This window comes from Homo sapiens, chromosome 1, assembly GCF_000001405.40.
Source record: "Homo sapiens chromosome 1, GRCh38.p14 Primary Assembly".
Taxonomy (NCBI): domain Eukaryota; kingdom Metazoa; phylum Chordata; class Mammalia; order Primates; family Hominidae; genus Homo; species Homo sapiens.
This window is the reverse complement of record NC_000001.11, coordinates 183,728,551-183,749,529: the sequence shown is the minus strand read 5'-3', so window position 1 is coordinate 183,749,529 and position 20,979 is coordinate 183,728,551. Positions and strand designations below refer to the sequence as shown.

The following is a 20,979-nucleotide window of genomic DNA, read 5'->3' as shown; positions in this document are numbered from 1 at the left end:
CACAGACTGGAAAATTGGATAAAGAGTCAGGACCTATAGGTGTGCTGTATTCAGGAGACCCATCTCACATGTAAAGACACACATAGGGGTTGCAATCCTAGTCTCTAATAAAACAGACTTTAAACCAACAAAGAACAAAAAACACAAAGAAGGGCATTACATAATGGTAAAGGGATCGATGCAACAAGAAGAGATGGCTATCCTAAATATATATGCAACCAATGTAGGAGCACCCAGATTCATAAAGCAAGTTCTTAGAGACCTACAATGAGACTTAGACTCCCACAAAATAACAGTGGGAGATTTAACAACCCACTGTCAGTATTAGACAGATCAATGAGACAGAAAATTAACAAGGATATTCAGGACTTGAACTCAGCTCTGGACCAAGCGGACCTAATAGACATCTGCAGAACTCTCCACCCCAAATAAACAAAATATACATTCTTCTCAGTACCACATAGCACTTATTCTAAAATTGACGACATAATTGGAAGTAAAACATTCCTCAGCAAATGTAAAAGAATTGAAATCATAACAAATGGTCTCTTAGACCACAGTGCAATCAAATTAGAACTCAAGATTAAGAAACTCACTAAAAACCACACAACTACATGGAAACTGAACAACTTGCTTCTGAATGATTACTGGGTAAATAACCAAATAAAGGCAGAAATAAATAAGTCCTTTGAAACCAGTGAGAACAAAGATACAATGTATCAGAATCTCTGGGACACATTTAAAGCAGTGTTTAGAGGGAAATTTATAGCACTAAATGCCCACGGGAGAAAGCAGGAAAGATCTAAAATCAACATACTAACATTACAAATAAAAGGTGGCTCACGCCTGTAATCCCAGCACTTTGGCAGGCCGAGGCAGGCAGATCACGAGGTCAGGAGATCGAGACCATCCTGGCTAACACAGTGAGACCCCCAACTCTACTAAAAATATAAAAAATTAGCTGGACGTGGTGGCGGGCACCTGTAGTCCCAGCTACTCCAGAGGCTGAGGCAGGAGAATGGTGTGAACCCAGGAGGCAGAGCTTGCAGTGAGCCGAGATCGTGCCACTGCACTCCAGCTGGGGCAACAGAGCGAGACTCCGTCTCAAAAAAAAAAAAAAAAAAAAAAAAAAAAAGAACTAGAGAAGCAAACAAATTCAAAAGCTCGTAGAAGACTAGTAGAAGACAAGAAATAACTAAGATCAGAGCAGAACTCAAGGAGTTAGAGACACAAAAACTCAATGAATCCAGGAGCTGGTTTTTTGAAAAGATTAGCAAAATAGATAGACCACTAGCCAGACTAATAAAGACGAAAAGAGAAAAGGATCAAATAGACACAATAAAAAATGATAAAGGGGATATCACCACTGATCCCACAGAAATACAAACTACCATCAGAGAATATTATAAAAACCTCTACACAAATAAACTAGAAAATCTAGAAGAAATTCCTGGACACATACACCCTCTCAAGACTAAATCAGAAGAAGTCAACTCCTTGAATAGACCAATAACAAGTTCTGAAATTGAGGCAGTAATTAATAACCTACCAATCAAAAAAAGCCCAGATCCAGATGGATTCACAACCTAATTCCACCAGAGGTACAAAGAGGAGCTGGCACCATTCCTTCTGAAACTATTCCAAATCATAGAAAAAGAGGGACTCCTCCCTAACTCATTTTATGAGGCCAGCCTTACCCTGATACCAACACCTGGCAGAGACACAACAAAAAAAGAAAACTTCAGGCCAATATCCCTGATGAACATCGATGTGAAAATCCTCAATAAAATACTGGCAAACCGAATCCAGCAACACATCAAAAAGCTTATCCATCACAATCAAGTTGGCTTCATCCCTGGAATGCAAGACTGGTTCAACATATGCAAATCAATAAATGTAGAGCTTCTGCACAGCAAAAGAATCTATCATCAGAGTGAACAGGCAACCTACAAAGTGGGAGGAAAGTTTTGCAATCTCTCCGTCTGACAAAGGTCTAATATCCAGAATCTACAAGGAACCTAAATAAATTTACAAGGAAAAACAAACAACCCCATCAAAAATTGAGCAAAGGACATAAACAGATACTTCTCAAAAGAAGACATTTATGCGGCCAAAAAACATGAAAAAACGCTCATCATCAGGGGTCATTGTATACAATGAGATACCATCTCACACCAGTTAGAATGGCCATCAATAAAAAGTCAGGAAACAACAGATTCTGGAGAGGATGTGGAGAAACAGGAATGCTTTTACACTGTTGGTGGAAGTGTAAATTAGTTCAACCATTGTGGAAGACAGCGTGGTGATTCCTCAAGGATCTAGAACCAGAAATACCATTTGACCCAGCAATCCCATTACTTGGTATATACCCAAAGGATCATAAATCATTATACTATAAAGACACATGCACATGTATGTTTATTGCAGCACTATTCACAATAGCAAAGACTTGGAACCAACCCAAATGCCCATCAATGGTAGACTGGAAAAAGAAAATGTGGCACATATACACCATGGAATACAATGCAGCCATAAAAAAAAGATGAGTTCATGTCCTTTGCAGGGACATGGATGAAGCTGGAAACCATCATTCTCAGCAAACTAACACAGGAACAGAAAACCAAACACTGCATGTTCTCACTCATAAGTGGGAGTTGAACAATGAGAACTTGAGAACACATGGACACAGGGAGGGGAACATCACACACCTAGGCCTGTTGGGGGATGGGGGGCAAGGGGAGAGATAACATTAGGAGAACTACCTAATGTAGGTGACAGGTTGATGGGTGCAGCTAACCACCATGGCATATGTATACCTGTATAACAAACCTGCATGTTCTGTACATGTATCCCAGAACTTAAAGTATATTAAAAAAATATATAAGAAAACTAAAAAAAAAAAAAAAATACATGTATACTATGTTCATATCAGCATTGTTCATCATGGCAAAAAACTATAAATAACTTAAATGTTCATCCACATAACGATGAATAATTAATCATGATATAACCACACAATGGCATATTGTACAATAGTGAAAATTAATGAAGTACTACTATATATATTTTTGTGGCTGAATCTTAAAAATTTTATAAACATAATGTTGAGTAAAAGAAGTGAGTCACCAAAGACACCATACATATAAATATATATGTGTTTATATATACATACATATGTAGGTGTATATATGTGTGTGCATGTGTGTGTGTGTATAACTCAACAGTATTGTTTGAGGATACACATATGCAGTAAAGACTTTTTAAAAAGCAAAAGGATGATTAAACACAACTTTCAGGAAGATGGGTACCTTTGCAGGGAAAGAAATCAAAGAGATAGTAGGTGAAACAGTTCACATATAGACTCAACAAACTATTTCTTAAGTTGGTTGTGGACTCACAAGTATTTGTGATTCCACAATATTATAATCCATAACTTGCATGTGTATTATTTTGTAGGTATCAAATACTATAATGTTAAAAAATAAGCACTTAGCAAAAAAAAAAAAATGAATTGAAGGAACTTCTTTAGCCTTAGTTATCAAAATCCTACAGCAAAAGAATGTGGGATCAAATATTGGTGAGACATTAAGGATGAAATATTAAAGCATAACCTTTAAAGTCAAAAAGAAGACAAGATAGCCATTGAATATAAAAATGTTGATACTCTCCAAATCAGTCAACAAATTTACTGAAATCCAAATCAAATTCCCAACAAGTTTCTGCTTAATTTTTCTTCATATCTTCAGAACTGAACAAGCTCATCCTAAATCCATATGGAAAATGCAGTTTCCAAAAACAACCAAGATAATCTTGAAGATCAATAGCTCAGCAGAGAAACATTCCCTACTGGATACTCGGGGCTTTTTTTTAGAGCTAGAATAGTTAAATGAGTATCATATCCACAGACAGGATATCTATAGAAACATGATACATGAAAAATAGCATTATAAACTGAAGAAGAAACAATAACATTCAAAAGTGACACTAGATAATTAATTATCCATATGGAAAAAACACATATCCCTATTTCAGATTGTGAAATAAATACTAAGCAAATAAAAGCAAACATTTAGAACTTTTAGAACTTTTAGGAAACACAGGAGAGTATCTTTATCATCATGAGGTCAGAAATAATTTCTTAAAGCAGAAAAAACACAAACCATAAGGAGAAAAGAAGACATAAATTTTACCAAATTAAAATTTAAAACAAAAATTTAGGAGTGGGAAAATATTGTTTTAGTGCATGAAATCAATAAAAAGGATTGTTTAGTAAACAAAACATTAGTTTCCAGAAATCAACAAGGAAAGACAAATGACCCAATGAAAAGAAACAAGCAAAGGATAAGAACAGATAATTCACAGAAAACTAAATGGCCAATATCCATGTGAACAGATGCTCAATGCCACAAGAATTCAGGGAAATTTGTGTTACAACAAGGTCCCATTTCAAAACAAACAGACTGGCCAATATTTAAAGGTCTGTCAATACCAATAACAGGTGAGGATATAGAATGGTTGAACTTTCATATGCTGCTAACAGAGATACAAACTCATGGCCTCATTTCAGAGCTGATCTAGTAATATCTAGCAAAACTAAAGGTATTCATACTTTACAACTCAGCATGCCACTTCCAGGTGTCTATGCTAGAAAAAACTCTAGCATATGTTCACGAGGAAAAATGTATTATACTGCCAATTGTATTGAAAGAAAACTAAAAGTTAATCAACAAGAGAATGAAGAAATAAATTTGACTATATTAAAATAATATAAACAGCAGTTAAACATGAATAAAGTGAAACTACATATGTCAGCATAAAAATAGAAACAAAAAAACAAGCTGTAGAAGTAGATGTACAGTACAAGGCTTATATAAAATTTACAAGATGTAAATCAATACTGTATATTGAATATATAGATCCACATGCATGTAGTATAAATACTGAAATATGCATAAAAATGATAAACACCAAATTCAGATTTATGACAGGGCCAGGACTGGAGTGAGACAAGCATCAAGCCTAGGGTGCAAAATTTAAGGATACACTCACTCTCAATTTTGTGCAAGTACAGGGCATAAACCTAAGAGTGAGTGCTTCCTTAAATTTTGTGCCCTCAGCACAACACTCATCTCATCTTATCTTGGACCTGTTAGGTAAGATACACAAAGACTTCATCTACCACCTGTGGAGTTTATTTCTTTAAAAAAAAAAAAAAGTCTGTTGTGCAAGTATATCCCTATAGAGAAGGCTTGTATTTGCTTCTGCTGGATTTTACATGTTCAAAACTAGTTGTTAGGTTACTTCCTTGGATTGGAATTGTCATAATGTGTCAATATTAGGAATTTGAATTTTAAACACAACTGTAGTGAGGAGTTGGTATAATAATTTCCCATGGAAGATTCCTCTTTCTCTTCACAGAATAACCAAAAGAAAGGCATGCAACTAAACTTGGCAATGAGCTCCTCTCTCCCACAGCTTTGCATCCTGAGCAGAATATGAGAATATGGAGGGGAAGGGACCAGTTTAGAATTTGTGCCAGGATTGGCACCCTGAGCAGTTTCTACTGACTTGGTTCCTGTCTTATTTCCAAGCCTAGTCCTCCAAACTTCTCACCAATTCTGTAAGCTTCTCAACATCCTCCAGCAATTTCTCATTCTCCTTAATTTAGTCAATTTCTGTTACTTGGAACCAAAGAGCCATACCAATATACTTAGCCTCATGCTGTCAAACAAGGAATTTATATATTTCCACTTGTTATGATTCCATCCTTAGGAATCAACTTTCTCAGCATTATTTGATTTCCCATTAGGTTTGCCTACAAGGAGAATGTGTGCTAAACATTTTAAATTGAGTATTCCAGAAGATAAAACTCTTCTATTTGTCTTTATCAATTAAGGAATTGCCATTTTCTTTTTATATATTAGTTGCATAAACTTAATTCATGTGAGTTTGCCCCAGAAAGTTCTGTTGGATACATGAGAAAATAAAATTTCCAAGCATGTAAGCTAAGGACCAGACCCTAGACAACTACCCAAGATAATGAATATCACCCAGGTAAGCCTCTCAGAAAACAGCTGCTGGTCTTTCTGGTAGCCAAAATACCATTGACAAAGTGTTCTCTGTTTTCCCTATTACGTTTCTATGCTATCTTAGTTGTTGCTTTGCTACCTCTCTCTGAGATGCTCTTTCCCATGTATTAAAACCTCTAGCTTTTGGGGCTGGGCACAGTCACTCACACCTGTAATCCCAGTGCTTTGGAAGGCAGAGGCAGGAGGATTGCTTGAGGCTAGGACTTCAAGACCAGCCTGGGCAACATAGCGAGAGTCTCATCTTTACAAAAAATTTAAAAATTATCCAGGTGTGGTGTTGTGTGACCTGTAGTCCTAGTTACTTGGGAGCCTGAGACAGGAGGATCACTTGAGCCCAGGAGTTCCAGGCAGCAGTAAGCTATGACTGTGCCACTGCACTCTAGCCTGGACAGAAGAGCAAGATCCTGTCTCCAAAAAAAACAAAAACATAAAAACCTCTAGCTTTAATTTTATTTGCTGAGCTGAAAAGATGGTCACAACCCAAGCTCAGGGAAATTAGGCCTTTCCATGATCTGGTTAATAACTCCATTCTCTTTTCCAATCTTCCTTTTATACCTCTTCATGCCTATATGGAAATGGTTTTCAATATCTTGCCAATATGTATTTTACCTCAAACGCATAATAAAAATAAAAGCTTTAATTTATAATTTCCATTGAAAGAATAATAGCATCTCTCTCTCTCTCTCTCCCCGTCCCCTCTCTCTCTTTCTCTCTCTCACACACACACCCCCCACAAATATGCACACAAATATCAGCATTTTATATAAGTCAAATGAAACTTCAACAACAATAGGCTTGAGAGAGGGAAGTCACAGAAGGGCAGCCTTGAGAAAGAATGTAGCTAGCGGGATACCCACAGCTACACTGCTGATACCTGAGGCTAAAGTGCAGATTATATGCATATGAGCCTTAGATCATCATTTTTTAAGCGCTGGCTTTCAGTGCAGCCTCCTTGGCCTGAATCACTGTGTAGTCATTAATGTGCAAAGGACATGCTCCTGACTTACTTGTTCTCCAGTCATGGCTGTGCCTACAGCCCCTGAATAAAGATTTGCCAAGCTGGCCTGTGGTGCTGGCTACACGAAGAATTATGGTCTCAGGTATAAACAAATCCAACATTTCACCAACTGTGTCATTTAGAGTCATCTTACCTCCTCTGTCTTTAAAACTTCCCATATTCGAACATGATCTTCCACCAGCCAGTGTCCCGTGCTTTCTACCTTGGTGGAAAGTTTGAATTTAGACACCTCTTGAGTAGGTTCTCCCACAGGTTTCACCTCCATCTTGAAAGAGGCAGGCAGGAGGCATTACGGATCTGTGTGGAAGAATAAAGTGTGATCCAGGTTAAAACAATGGGTAACATTAAAAGAGACATCGAAGCAAATTATCATGCTTGACTTCTGACTAGTGAGACCATTAAAGACAGTATCATAATAGGCATCAACTTTTATGGCCACTTTTATATTCTAAATATTCATTATTGGTATTTTAATGCAGGCTTTGGGAGGTAAGAATGCATTCTGATAATGGCAAACTGATACAAATTTTAAAGCAAAGTGCAAGCCATCATCTGCCTGTTATACCTGCTCATCACTTGGCTTTGGTGCTCTCAGGGGGAGTGATGGAAATGGGTGGCTGTCAGGCAAACCTGAGTGATGTTTTCATATTTTCATGCCAAGTGCTCCATGTGGAAGAAGCACTGGCTATGATGTCAAGAGTTTTACTCTTCAAACATCTATTATGCACTTGTGTATATGAGGCTCCATGCTAGGCATACACAAATAATTCAGTAGTTTGGCTGTTAACCTTAAGAAGCTTAGAGCCTCAGGACAGAAAGATTGTAAACAAGTATTAACAATATGATGTATTACAACGTAGTGTCTGAAATGCCACAATAATTGTGTTTCTAAACTGCAATGAAGGCAGAGGAAGATCCCTTTGATATTCACTGGCTATGCACTTTCTTGGGCCTTGGTTTCGCTAACAGTTACTGTAAGATATTATTTAAAAATTGATACCAATTTTACAAGGTCTACTTCTTTGACATCTTTCCATCCACCACTGGCTTGCTCAGAATCTCATCATATCTTGCCTGGCTCAGCCCCATATTATCAGAAGAGTCTCCTTGCCTCCATTCAAGTCTCCTTGAGTCTATTCTTGGTGTAATTTTTCTAAAAAGCAAAACTGTTACTGATGTTCCATCTACCTAAAACTTTTCCTAAAGAATAAAACCCAAATTCCTTCACACAGCATCCAAGGATCTTTGTGTCTGGCTTTCTCCACCTCCCTTCTCCCACCTCATGCATGCACTGCTGCCTCCTCAGCCACTGTTTCAGCCATTTGAAAGTATCTATGGACCCCAGATACATCTGGTGCCTATAGCCTTTGTTTGTGACACCTTCTCTCCAATCCCCATCCCAAGAGAATACAGGCCTCCCTCCTTTGTTATTCTATGTACTCTAGACAAACTTCTATCATGTCACCTGTAACATTTTATTATATTTATTTGCTTTCAATTCTATTTTCGCCTTCTAGTCTTATAAGCATCTTGAGACTAGAGATAGTATCACACACAGAGTAAGTACTAAATAAATGTTTTATGAATCATTAATTCAATCATTTAGTAAATCATGACAATCCATTGAAAAGGAGGCAGCAGATCTTATATATTCAAGTAACAGATGTAAAAGTCAGGTTACCTCTTCCTTTTAACTTTTTTATTGACTTAGTGGGCTGTAAGTTCTTCACAAAAAAGGGATAAGTCTAACATTCATCACACACCCCCCAAGCAGCTTATAATGCAAGACGATATTGCTCATTCGTTAACAACAGGCTGGTTTTCATGGAAATGTCTTCAAGGAATCACGTCTGCAAAACACAGGTGTTATGCTCACTTAACCCACTACCCAAATAAAAGTAAGTGGAAATTGAAATCTATACGAGTGGCAGGCGTGACGGGTCAGCGGATTTAAGAAAATCATCATCTGCAGAGGAGTTACTTCTCTGCTCTGGGGCTTCCCATGCTCCATCTGTAAGCCATGGAGAGTAAGCCCATCTACTTGCAGAGAGCAGTGATGAAGAAACTGATAACCAAAACCATCGTGAAGTACTTAGAAACATAGAGCACTTAATACCCTCCCATTAGGAACCAGGAAACAAAACCTACATAATTAATGAACAAAGTTCCTCTGAGTGGACACACTAATAAATGATGCTGACACATACACGCAAGGAAATAAACAAATCAGAGTCATGTAGAGATTTCAGTCCAAAAAAAGGAAATTAAAATAAACAGGCAAAATGGAAACAGGCCAGATTAGTAGGAAAGGAAATTCCATTGTTGTTATTGGAGATAATACTGTAAATAATAACAAATAAATCAAAACAAAGTAGGAAAACTACATAAAATGGTTTTGGCTGTCTCCTTCGTATATTATGGAAACAAACCTGGATAAAACAGACAAAGTACAAAATCTCATGGGAACAATGGAACATCCGTAAGCGTAACATGTTCCAGAGACCCCACAGCTTACTCTACTGTCTGCCCACAGCTGCTTTCTCATCTCCACAGTGTGGGTGAAAGTTGGCAAATTTTCAGCGTTGGAAGACTGAACTCTACTGTGCACTGACTTCCCACAGATTGCTCCTCACCCTATTTGGGAAGAAGATGCAATTGTGAGTTTTAAACGATTCCAAAGCACTCAGGAACTAAGGAGGGACTCAAGAGAGGCAGCCAGTTCTTACAAGGCTCTTCAAGCATTCTGAGATCCTCCACCCTATCTGAGACTTGAAGTCTTTTTCACTCATCCTCAGTGTATCTCCGCACTTACAAAAATGACCATATGTACAATATATCTTGAGCTTCCACTGCATACCAGCCACAGTGCTAGGCATTTTCCACATTATCTGTAATCCACACAGTAACCCTGAGAGGTAGATATCACCATTTTACGGCAATGAAAAAATAAGATTCAGAGAGGTTAAATAACTTTACTACACTGCTAGAAAGTTGCAGAGTTCCCAAGTTCATGCTCTCTCTCCTAGATCAGTTCAGAAAGCCTTCAGCTCCATCCTACTCTCCCGCCGCTGGTAGAATGCAACCTCCTTCTCATGCTCCTTCCTCCATAGACTAGAGCCAGTGTCTGTGCCTCAGCTCACTGGCACAATGGTGCCCCCTTGAGAGATGGTCACACCTGATGAGTACATAGGTAAGGATGGCATAGAGGTAGGAAAACATCACAGGGAATGGATCATTCCTTTTCCTTTTTACTGACATCTCAACTTCTGACCAGGGTGAGCTTTATGAGTGTGTGACCTATGAAGTCACACAGGGCCCCATGCTCAGAAGAGCCTCATGCTTGGTTTAATGCTTTGCTGTTGCTACCTTAAACTTCTTAATTTTTGAACAAGGGGACTTCTATTTTCATTTTGCACTGAGCCCCACAAATTATATAGCCAGTCCTGCTACCAACCTGTCCTTTTCCTCTTCAAATCTAGCATTTTATTCCATACTCTCTTTATTCTTTTCTTTTTTTCTTTTGAGACAGGGTCTCGTGCTATCACCCAGGCTGGAGTGCAGTGGTGCAGTCTTGGCTCACTGCAACCTCTGCCTCCCGGGTTCATGCAATTCTCCTGCCTCAGCTTCCCGAGTAACTGGGATTACAGATGCCTGCCACCACGCCCAGCTAATTTTTGTATTTTTAACAGAGACGAGATTTTACCATGTTGGCCAGGCTGGTCTTGAACTCTTGGCCTCAAATTATCCACCTGCCTCAGCCTCCCACAGTGCTGGGATTACAGGCATGAGCCATCTCACCCAGCCTCGATACTTTCTTTAAACAATTCATGCATTATAGGTTTCCTACCTATTCCGCTAAAAAGAGCTAGAAGTCTATGTGACAGAGTCATTTTTTTGTTAAAATTAAAATAGGAGGCATATGTAGACTTTCCACTACCTCTGATATACTGTGCATCTTATAGTTGAACTGCTGACTTCTTTCTTTTTCTTTCTTTTTTTTTTTAGACGGAGTCTTGCTCTGTCGCCCAGGCTGGAATGCAGTGGCGTGATCTCAGCTTACTGCAACCTCTGCCTCCAGGGTTCAAGCGATTCTCATGCCTCAGCCTCCCGAGTAGCTGGGATTACAGGCATCTGCCACCACCTCCAGCTAATTTTTGTATTTTTTAGTAGAGACGGGGTTTCGCCATGTTGGCCAGGCTGGTCTGGAACTCCTGACCTCAGGTGATCTGCCTGCCTCGGCCTCCCAAAGTGCTGAAATTACAGGCATGAGCCACCGCACTCAGCCTGCCTTCTTTCTTAAAACACATAGTCAAGGCTTACAAGACAACCTCCAGGCAAATACCATAAATAATGGGCCCCTTCAACAGAATCATCAGATAATATGAAATCACTGTAAACCTAAAAGGCAAAATTTTCTGTTCTAGTTAAGAATTGGTCTAAAATATCGTAAGCCTTACGGACTCCTTTGGAAATCAATTTTGAAGAATTTTTAATTTAAAACACCTGATACCCAAAACAGAATTTTGTTTAAACAACTGGATGGTAAAATCAGCCTTAAGTTGGGAGTGGGGTGAAAAAAGGAACCTGTATGTATATAAAGGCAAATCTGATCAGAGAGCATAAAAGCAAAATTTTTCTCAAAAATTAAAAAAGAAAATTGTTTGGGAATTTTTTTGTAATTGTAAAAGGATTGTGATTGCATACTGCCTCAACCTTATGAAGCACAGAAATAAAATTAAAACAGGGAAGACAGGTGGGATGGAAGAAAGATGTGCTTGCTTGACACTGAGAAACAATCTGCAGATGAGAAAGCCATGGAAAGATTTTTTTTTTTTTTTTTGTAGAGATAGAATCTCACTATGTTGCCCAGGCTGGTCTCACCTGGGCTCAAGTGATCCTCCTGCCTCAGTCTCCCAAAGTACTAAGATTACAGGCATGAGCCACTGTGCCTAGTCTTCTTTTTAAAATATTTACTAACACTATGCTTATAATATCTATAATATGTAATCATAACTTATTTCTTCTATTCCTTCCAAAATAATCATTGACAGGAGGTCATAACATTTTCCATGGTCATAACAAAGGGCGCAGCTGATGGCTTCATACCCTAAGTGATCATTATGCACCAAAAGTAAATGAGCAGCTTCTCAGAGGCTAATCTTGAAAACGTTAAGTATTAAAATAACAATCTAAGAACACAATAACTTGCCATTATTAGTGTCTGTTCTTGCTATCAGATAAAAATTATCCATCACTTCCATGGATGCCCTTTTTTTGAAACATGGCTTTAAAAGTAAGTGCTAGGACACAACTCCACTCAAGTCTGTATTTATTTTATTAACCTCCATGCTGAACTTTGTTTGATACATCATTTTGTAATTTATTGAATTTTACTTTCCTTCTTATAATAAATAGCATATGAGACATCCCTCACAAATCGTTATTTTTTTCTCCTCCTCCTCCTCTTTAAATGGTTTGGAAGGAAAAGAAAGTGTTTAAAATTCAGAAACTTATTGAAATGATTTGGTGCTTCTTATCTTTATCTATTAGGGTCATGCTTTTCTTCTTCCTCTGCAGACTCCCTTATATGTGATAATATTTCTGCTTATTTTCCTTTTGCTTCTACCTGAAGAAATCTTTCAATTTTTCAAACTCAACTCAGATTTCTTCTAATCTTGAAAATGTCTGGCATTTACCCTGTTCCAGTCCCTTCCCATGATTATTTGTCTTTCTGCCATTTCTTTCCTCCTACATTCTCTCTTCCTCATTCCTCTTCCTAATGAGCTGAGGTCCTGTCCAGATAAGATAGGTTTGTTTATCTTTATATCCTACTATCTTCAACTCTTCCACCTAGAATGCTATCAAGAGCAGTCTTTGCATTTTAGTTTTACTCAAAGGTTCAGAATTGCCTAATGCAAAGTGCACTGAAATTCTAGTCACAAGACCTGAGTTAAAATCATGAAGCTACAGTTAATTCTCTGTGTAACCATTAAGCAAGCCATTTCACCTTTCTTGGCCTCAGTGTCCTTATCTTTAATATGAATAGGCTACAAGACTGCTGAGACCTCTTACAGTTACAAAAGTAAAGCATTCACCTCCCTCAAATGTAGAAAGCAAAACTAATGTGCATTGAATTATTTTTCCAGAAGAACTGAAGGCTCCAAACTACTAAACAAAACAGTGAAAGGTGATTTCGGTGTTTCACTCACGTATTGTACTTATTCCCATATTATGCATTCACTACTCAAAAGTCAAACAAACAGTATGATATTAAAATAGCCTCTTTACATACATGTATATAATATCGGGGTTTTGACTATTCAGAGATAACCCAAAACTCTGACATGTAGTCTATTGTAAGTGTGCTGAGGCTTTTTAAAGCTGCTATTTGGACATGCTCACCCATCCTTAGCATCTAACTCCTGGTTTGGTGGTAGACTTCTCTAACCATGATTGCTATTGTGATATCTACAAATTGTGGGATCCAAGAAGGTCTCAAGATACAGCCTCCTAATTGTGGAGGGGGCATGACAGTGATCTCACTAGTCTATTTCTTCTGAGAACACAGAGAGAAGCAGCTATCCAGAATCAAAGATGACCATATGAAAATGGAAACTGGGGCACAGACAGACATCAGAAGGGAAGGACTCCAGAAAGCCACAGCAGAGAGACAGATTCCTACTGCCCTGAGAAAGGAAGCCCATTAGATAATTTCGTAGTAATACTAAATGTTGCTTGTGTTTGAAGTGGAGGTATGAGTCAATGTACTAGGAGGTAAGAGAGCAACAGATTCCTATTATCTCTTCCTCTTTGGAATCTCAGCAGCATTTCAAGTCTATCTATATAAGGCAACTCAGTTATATCCTGAGTATTGCTTTTTTTGCTTTCCATAACTTACTCTGGTCTCCCCTGCTAGCCTGCCAGCTCTTTAAGAGCAAGATTAGACATAAGTTTGTTACACTGCTTCAATTTTTTACAAAACTCCATCACCCTTTTAAAAAATAGATTTTTACTTTTTTATTAAAGAAAATGTACTGGAAGAAGGAATTAAGCATTCAACATGATAATGTATTTTGGAATAAATGTCAATCATTGGGCAACCATTTTCAAAGGAATTTTAATTATATAGTGTCTCCAAATGCTGAGCAAGGTTGCACAATACTGTCTGTGGAGTTAGAAGTGACTCTGGGAGCAACTGTCTCCTGTTAAATGTAGAAAATTAAAGAAGTGTAAGGCATTCTTGCTTTATTCCAGTTGATATTTTAAAAGACTGGTCCAACTGGTCTTCAAACCACATACTTTCTCCCCCTTACTGATAGTATTTGGCCAAAGTTTTTAATAATTAAAAAAAAAAGAAAAATCCAGAGTGGGTTTGTACTACCCTGTGACCCTCCCTGGAGAAACGCTGCTCAGCAATCCCTGCTTTGCTCAACAATCCCTGCTCGGCACAGAGGGCCAACACAAGGAAAACAGTTGGGCTCCCTTCCTAGTCTCCATTCAGTGCAGCCGTCTGGTCACAAATCTGCAAAGACAGACGTGGGGAAGGGAGAGGATACTTAACAGAACAGAGCTGAGATCACAAAAAAATATCCTTTAGCATTCTAAGAGAGATAGAGGGAATTCCAGGGGACTGCCTTTTTTATTGCCTATATTTTTATTACGATAAAAAGTTCAGTAATTATGTTGCTGGAAAGCATGAAACAAGACAAAACTGTAAATCACATGACTGTCCCAGGCTCAAATGTTTCACAATTCTGTAAACACCAGCTTTAACTGGCTGAATGAAGGCAAAATGCAAAAACCATTAGGAGAGCATCATCCAGTTCAATAGTCACAGGCTAATTTTTATCAAGTTGAAGGAAATTAAGCTGATTTAGATCATAGCAATCCTTTAGGTCTCAACAATAACAACAGCAACATTGACAACACAACCCTCTCCACCACAGTGCATTCAATATTTACTACACCAGATACTGGGCTAGCATGTTACAAGCCTCAGTTTATCCTCAGAAGCTCAAATCAAGAGAGATTATGGAATAAGCCTTAGGGTTTCTCTCCAGTTATCCTGACCCAGAGCTGTGCCCTCACCACTCCACTCCACTGCTATCCTTTAATAGTCAGTGTTCCACTTACAAAATAACATCATGTAGATGTTCAAAAATCTGAGTTCCTAGGAATCTGAGCTCTCGAAAGGATTCAGAGGTGGACTTCTCACGGGAGGAATGCAAAGATCTAGAAATGTTAGATTCACAGGGGAAAAAATCTGTTGAGTTTACCAGTTAATACACAAAATCATTTTAACTAGCTTCCGAATCGACTAGCCCTTCCACATTTCAGGTTAAAGAGCAATCTGTTCTCAATCTTTTACTTCACCATAAACAGAAATTGAATCTATTTAATTACAGTCACTTTACTAAGCCAGAGGAAAATGGAAGGTCCCAATGGGGAAAAACTCTTTCAAGAAAACACTTCTGGGAGAGCATGTAGAGTGAGCTGGCTCTAAGCCAATCCTTATCCCTTCTCACAGTCTCTAAGTAGCAAGAACACCATGATTTTCACATATACCATATACTGCCAAATATCATTCCTCCTTCATTTGATCAGATAACACCTTATCCCATTACAGAAGACCCTTTAATTAGTGTCACATAATAATGATCTAGTTAGTGTTGAAGACCAAAACACCAGTTTGCTAGATTAGCTAGGTGCAAGAAGCTTTATACACAGAGTAGCATTTTTATTCCTATCTAACTATGTTGTTCCTTCTCTGAATGGGAATAAATCCTCTGGAATGGAAATAAATCCTTGTAAGTGGTGCTAAGGACAAAGGAATTGGTCCAATACTCATCCAGCAGGGGAGAGGGCAGAAGCTATGTGCCTTAGTTAGAATGAGTTATACTACTACTGGCTCAACATGGCAAACCTTTCCCATGTGGGATCAAAGACTCAATAACCCAGATGAACACAGGAACACAGGGACAATGAAACCAAGGGGAAACCACTAGAGATGCTGCTTCCTGACGCTGCCTTTTGCATAGATCTTGTGACTTTTCCCTGATGACCTGGTGCCCAAAAGCGAATACAAAGTCAAAGCCATATCTTACAGAATCCTGAAAAACCCTCCCAAAGACTTGAGCTTGACATAACATAGTGACATTTTTATCAGTAAATTCAGTAAAAACTGTTGTGTTGGTCACGATCCATGTATACTCAAGAAGATACAATCCCTATTTTTAATGAGAGCCCCATTTGTCCTTTAGCAAACCCCGTAAGGACACTCCAACATTAAAAAAAAATTTGTTTCCATGTTTTTTTCCTCTTACTCAGAGCTCTGTGAGGGTGTACTGTACCATATAGAATGCATCCTGCATTCATAAATATATATCAGAGGAGAAGCAGCTGTTGAATTTAACCTCGATAGTCCATTAAGGATGAAACCCTCGCATTATTTTAGAGTGAACCAAAAGGTTTTAAGCCTAAATGAAGCCTTTGAGAACCAAATTCTACTCTCAAATTTCAAACGGATTTTCAAAACATGTTTAGAAACTGCTTTGCATAGCAACGGAGTCAGAGTATTTTCAACTCAGCCTATGGGAAGGACCTTACTGGGATACATTCAATGGTTACTCAATTAGAACCTATTTTTTTTCTTTAAAATTGCAAATATTCGTAGCAAAACCAAGCCTGGCTTTCTCATCAGGCCTTCACAATAGCACCAGCTGTTCATCACAGTCTTTCCAAGGGCTGCATTAAATGACTTGTGTACATCTGCGGGGCTTCTGTGTTTGATCCTAGATTATATTTTCACTAAGGTTAAGGGTTAGAGTTTTGACAGATGTGGCTGTGTTCTAATTGGCCCATTTTATCTGGCCCTTTTCCACACACATACAGTATTCGATAGCCAAGTTTGTGAAATGCCTCAATTTTGATACTAACAAATGAGGGGTGGATGGAATGTAGGGCTTGAGCACTCGGTTGGGTGTCGGCTTTAGTTTCAGAGTCCATATGAAATCCATGCCAACATCTGTCTGGGGGGAAAGAGGATCATTTCATTCCATGTTACCATTTCATTCCAACTGGGTTACAGTTTCTTTTCTCTTCCTTTTATTCTTCCCTCCTTAAACTTTTACAGGACTTTCCATTTTTTTCATTGCCACAGATTGACCTTGCTATTTCCCATAAACCAAAGTGTAAACTTGAACTAAGATTGTATCTTGCGTTCTGACACCTTAGCACAACAGCAATCATGCAAATATAAGATTTAGCATTCCTGACTTTCTAGCTGGAGGGTTAGTGGGCCAATCTGACTGACTATAACAAGATGGCAAATTTGCAGGGACATGACGTGTAGTTTCCTTAAATCTCACCTAGCACCATGCTGTCACAGGAAGGAAGAAGTCCCTAAAGTTTTACGTAGCTATAGCCTAATTATTGTGCGAGGTGTGTATGGGGCAGGGCGAAACAAAGATAAGTTAAGCCTGTGTTCTCCACTAATTGGCCCTTGAGCTGGGAGTTCTTAATCTCAATTCCTGGGAAGTCTACAATCGTATGAGAAGAAAGAGATACATTTCAAAATGATAGATTATATTTCAAACTGACAGGATAGGTGTTAGAAGAGAGAAATACACAAGTGTATTACACTGAGAGCTCTTTGAGGTAAGTATTAATTCCCCATCCAGATGAAACTGAAGCTCAGAGAAATTAAGTGAATTGCCCAAGGTCACAGAGCAGGGTCCAAATTTGAAAACAGATCTGTCTGACTTAGAACAAAGCTTTCATTTTCATTTTGTCATGGCCTTTCAAAATTTTCACAGAATTGTGGCCATGTTACTATTTGGCTTTGTAACTTTAATGCTTAAGGAGAAACACTAACTCTCTGTAATAAGGTAGCAGGGGAAAGGCCAAGAGGGTTATCTGAAATTGTGCTTCCTTATCTGTGCTACCTTTTCTACCAAAGCTGAGAGTCAGTTTCTTCTACCTCCCTTCATATTCTATTTTATCAGCTCCTCCACATTCTCTAGTGCCTATCACACTTCCTCTGCCCTGCCCTTCAAGAGCTAAATAATTATTCCACTACTAAAAAGAAGTGGCAGAAAACAGAAGCAAAAATTGGACAGTCAGTTATTTCACTTCTTATTCACATATGTAAATTTTTGCCACAGAAATATGGTAACCTGTAAGTCTAGTTATTTTTAAGCCTTCTTTAAAACAACATATGGAATCTATTATAATATTCAATGACTTCACTTTTGCTTCTGCTCTAGAGATTGATGGGTTTATGATTTATAGCTCAAGTGAATTCAATTCTCAGGTTCATTGCTCCAATTTTGGTTGACATTGTTTCTGGATACCACAAAGATATTAATTGTTAACTTCATTGTGTACTGAAAAATGACTTATACACTTGCAAAACTTAAGTGGACTCAGAGTTACAACTTCTATGCACCCACTCCATTTGTCCACTTCAGACGGGACAAAAAGAAAGTGTGTTTTACTCTTTTGTGTGCCCTTAAAAGGAATTCGAGGCTTGTTACTTTGAAAGCATAATATCATGAACAGGATGAAGTATAGTGAAATTAGATCCAAATAGTTTTGAGGTCTTACCTGAGAAATAAGTACATTGATTAAGTCAGCCTAGAAATCTGTCAACAGCCTGCCTGGGTGAAGGTTGATTAAATCTCTCCCTCCTTCCCTGTTTCATTGCCACAGACCTCCAGAGTTGTTTAGATTCTACTCTAGTTCCTACTGGACCAATTAGTCAAAATTATGTTCTGTACTCTCCAAATTAAAATCTGGCAACACTAGCCTTCCATGTATAATGGACTGTCATAGTTGGTTTCCTGTAACCACAGAGGAAATTGAAATAGAAAGGCAGGGGCTTAGATACATTCAAGCAGTACATTAGCAGTGACATCAATTTTAAATATAAGAGTCCCTGACGCTTTAGTCTGAGCCACTGAGCCAACCTAACACACTCACTCCATTATCTCAGAGAGGGGAGGTAGTGAGTTTTGTGGTCCTCTGAAAGAGACCTGTGGCCGAAACACACCATGTTAGCACCTTCCTCTGGGTCCAGCTTGGGACTTCTAGGAGGGAACCCTGGCTCTTGGTCTTAGCCAGTATTTAAGTGGGAAGTTGCTTTGTATTACAGCCAAGAGTCACAGGAATGCCTGACACAGTGCCCAATATGGAACAGGCTTTATACTATGGAGAAATTGTCAACACCTTTATAATGTTTCCCTTTACTGACTCCAAGATGTTGCCCCTCAAAAACAGCAACTACTACATACAAGCACAATTTTAATGAGGGATAGTTTACATATCTCATGTTAAGGGTATATTCTATGACTTTTGACAAATAGTATACACCCATGTTACCACTGCTAAAGTCAAGATTAGAACATTTCCATTACTTCAAAAGATCATTCTCTTAAGCCCCTTCCCAGCCGATCTCACCCTATCACTGGCCCCGGGCAACCATGAACCTGCTTTCTGTAAATATATGTTAAGTTTTTCTTTTCTAGAGGTTTATATTGAATATCATACAATACCTACTTTTTTTTCGGTCTTCTTTCACTTACCACATTTATTTTGAGATTCATCTATGTTGGTACATGTTTAAATAGTTTGTCCTTTTCAGTACTAAGTAGTATTCCATTGTTAAACATTTTATTTATACATTCACCTGCTGATGGACATTTGTGTTGTTTCCAGTTTGGGTTACTTTAAATAAAGTGAAAGAACACTTGTGTACAACTCTTTTTGTGGACACATGCTTTCATTTCTCTTGGATAAACACCTAAGAGTAGAATTGCTGAATCTTATGGTAAATCTATGTTTAACTTTATAAGAAACTGCCAAAACTGTTTTCCAAAGTGGTTGTACAATTTTATATTCCCATAAGCGGTGTATGCAGGAAAATCTCAGTGGTTTCATATCCTCATCAACAGTTAGTATTTGGGGTCCTTTTAATTTTAGCCACTCTAATGTTCTAACGGATGTGTAGTGATATCACATTGTGGTTGTAATTTTCATTTCCCTAATGATGAATGATATTGAGCATCTAGTCATGGATATATTGGCTATCTGTGTATCTTCTTTGGTAAAGTTTGTTCAAATGTGTCCATTTTATTGACTTTATAATTGGTTCTATCAGTGAGTTGAAAGACTTCTTTATATATTCTAGATATCAGTCCTTATAATATAAAATAGTATACACACACACACACACACACACATATATATTTTATCTGTCTGAGGTCTACCTTTGCATTTGCATTTTCTTATAAACGGGTTTTAAATTTTGATGTAGCCCAATTTATAAATTTTTTATACTTTTTATGTTTATGCTATTTTGTGTCCTGTTTAAGAAATCTTTGCCTACGTGAAGGTTATAAAGTTTCTTCCAGAAGTTGTATAGTTTTAGCATTTACATTTAAGATTATCCAGTTGTGTACCATAAAGTAAGGGTTGATGTTAATTTATTTAAATGTGGATAACAAGTTGTTCAAGACCATTTGTTGAAAAGGTATTCCTTTCCATATTGAATTACCTTGGCATCTTTGTCAGAAATCAATTGGCCATACACATGCTCGTCTATTTCTGGGTTCTCGATTGTGTTTAATTGATCTATGTGTCAAAACTATGCCAATAACACACCAACTTGATTGCTGTATCTTTACAGTAAGTGTTAAAGCCAGTAAGTTTAAGTGTTCTAACTTTGTTCTTTCTCAAAATTGTTTTGGTTATTCTAAGCATTTAGGTTTTAGAAATGGCTTGAACATTTCTATAAGAAAATCTGGATTTTTATTGGAATGTCATCAAATCTATAAATCAATTCGAGGAACTGAAATCACAATTTCAGGTCTTCCA

The 20,979-nt window shown here is 37.9% G+C and overlaps 1 protein-coding gene across 10 annotated transcripts in view; it reads right to left on the bottom strand.

Moving 5' to 3' along the window:
- The window catches only part of RGL1 (ral guanine nucleotide dissociation stimulator like 1), a 292,424-nt gene that overhangs the window by 179,003 nt on the left and 92,442 nt on the right, over positions 1–20,979 (bottom strand). For all 10 annotated transcript variants that reach the window (XM_011509339.4, XM_047415682.1, NM_001297669.3 and 7 more), the window contains one exon: positions 7,241–7,404. In XM_011509339.4, coding sequence (XP_011507641.1) covers positions 7,241–7,372 — 132 coding nt within the window. In that variant the 5' untranslated portion in view covers positions 7,373–7,404. The remainder of the gene's footprint in view (positions 1–7,240; positions 7,405–20,979) is intronic.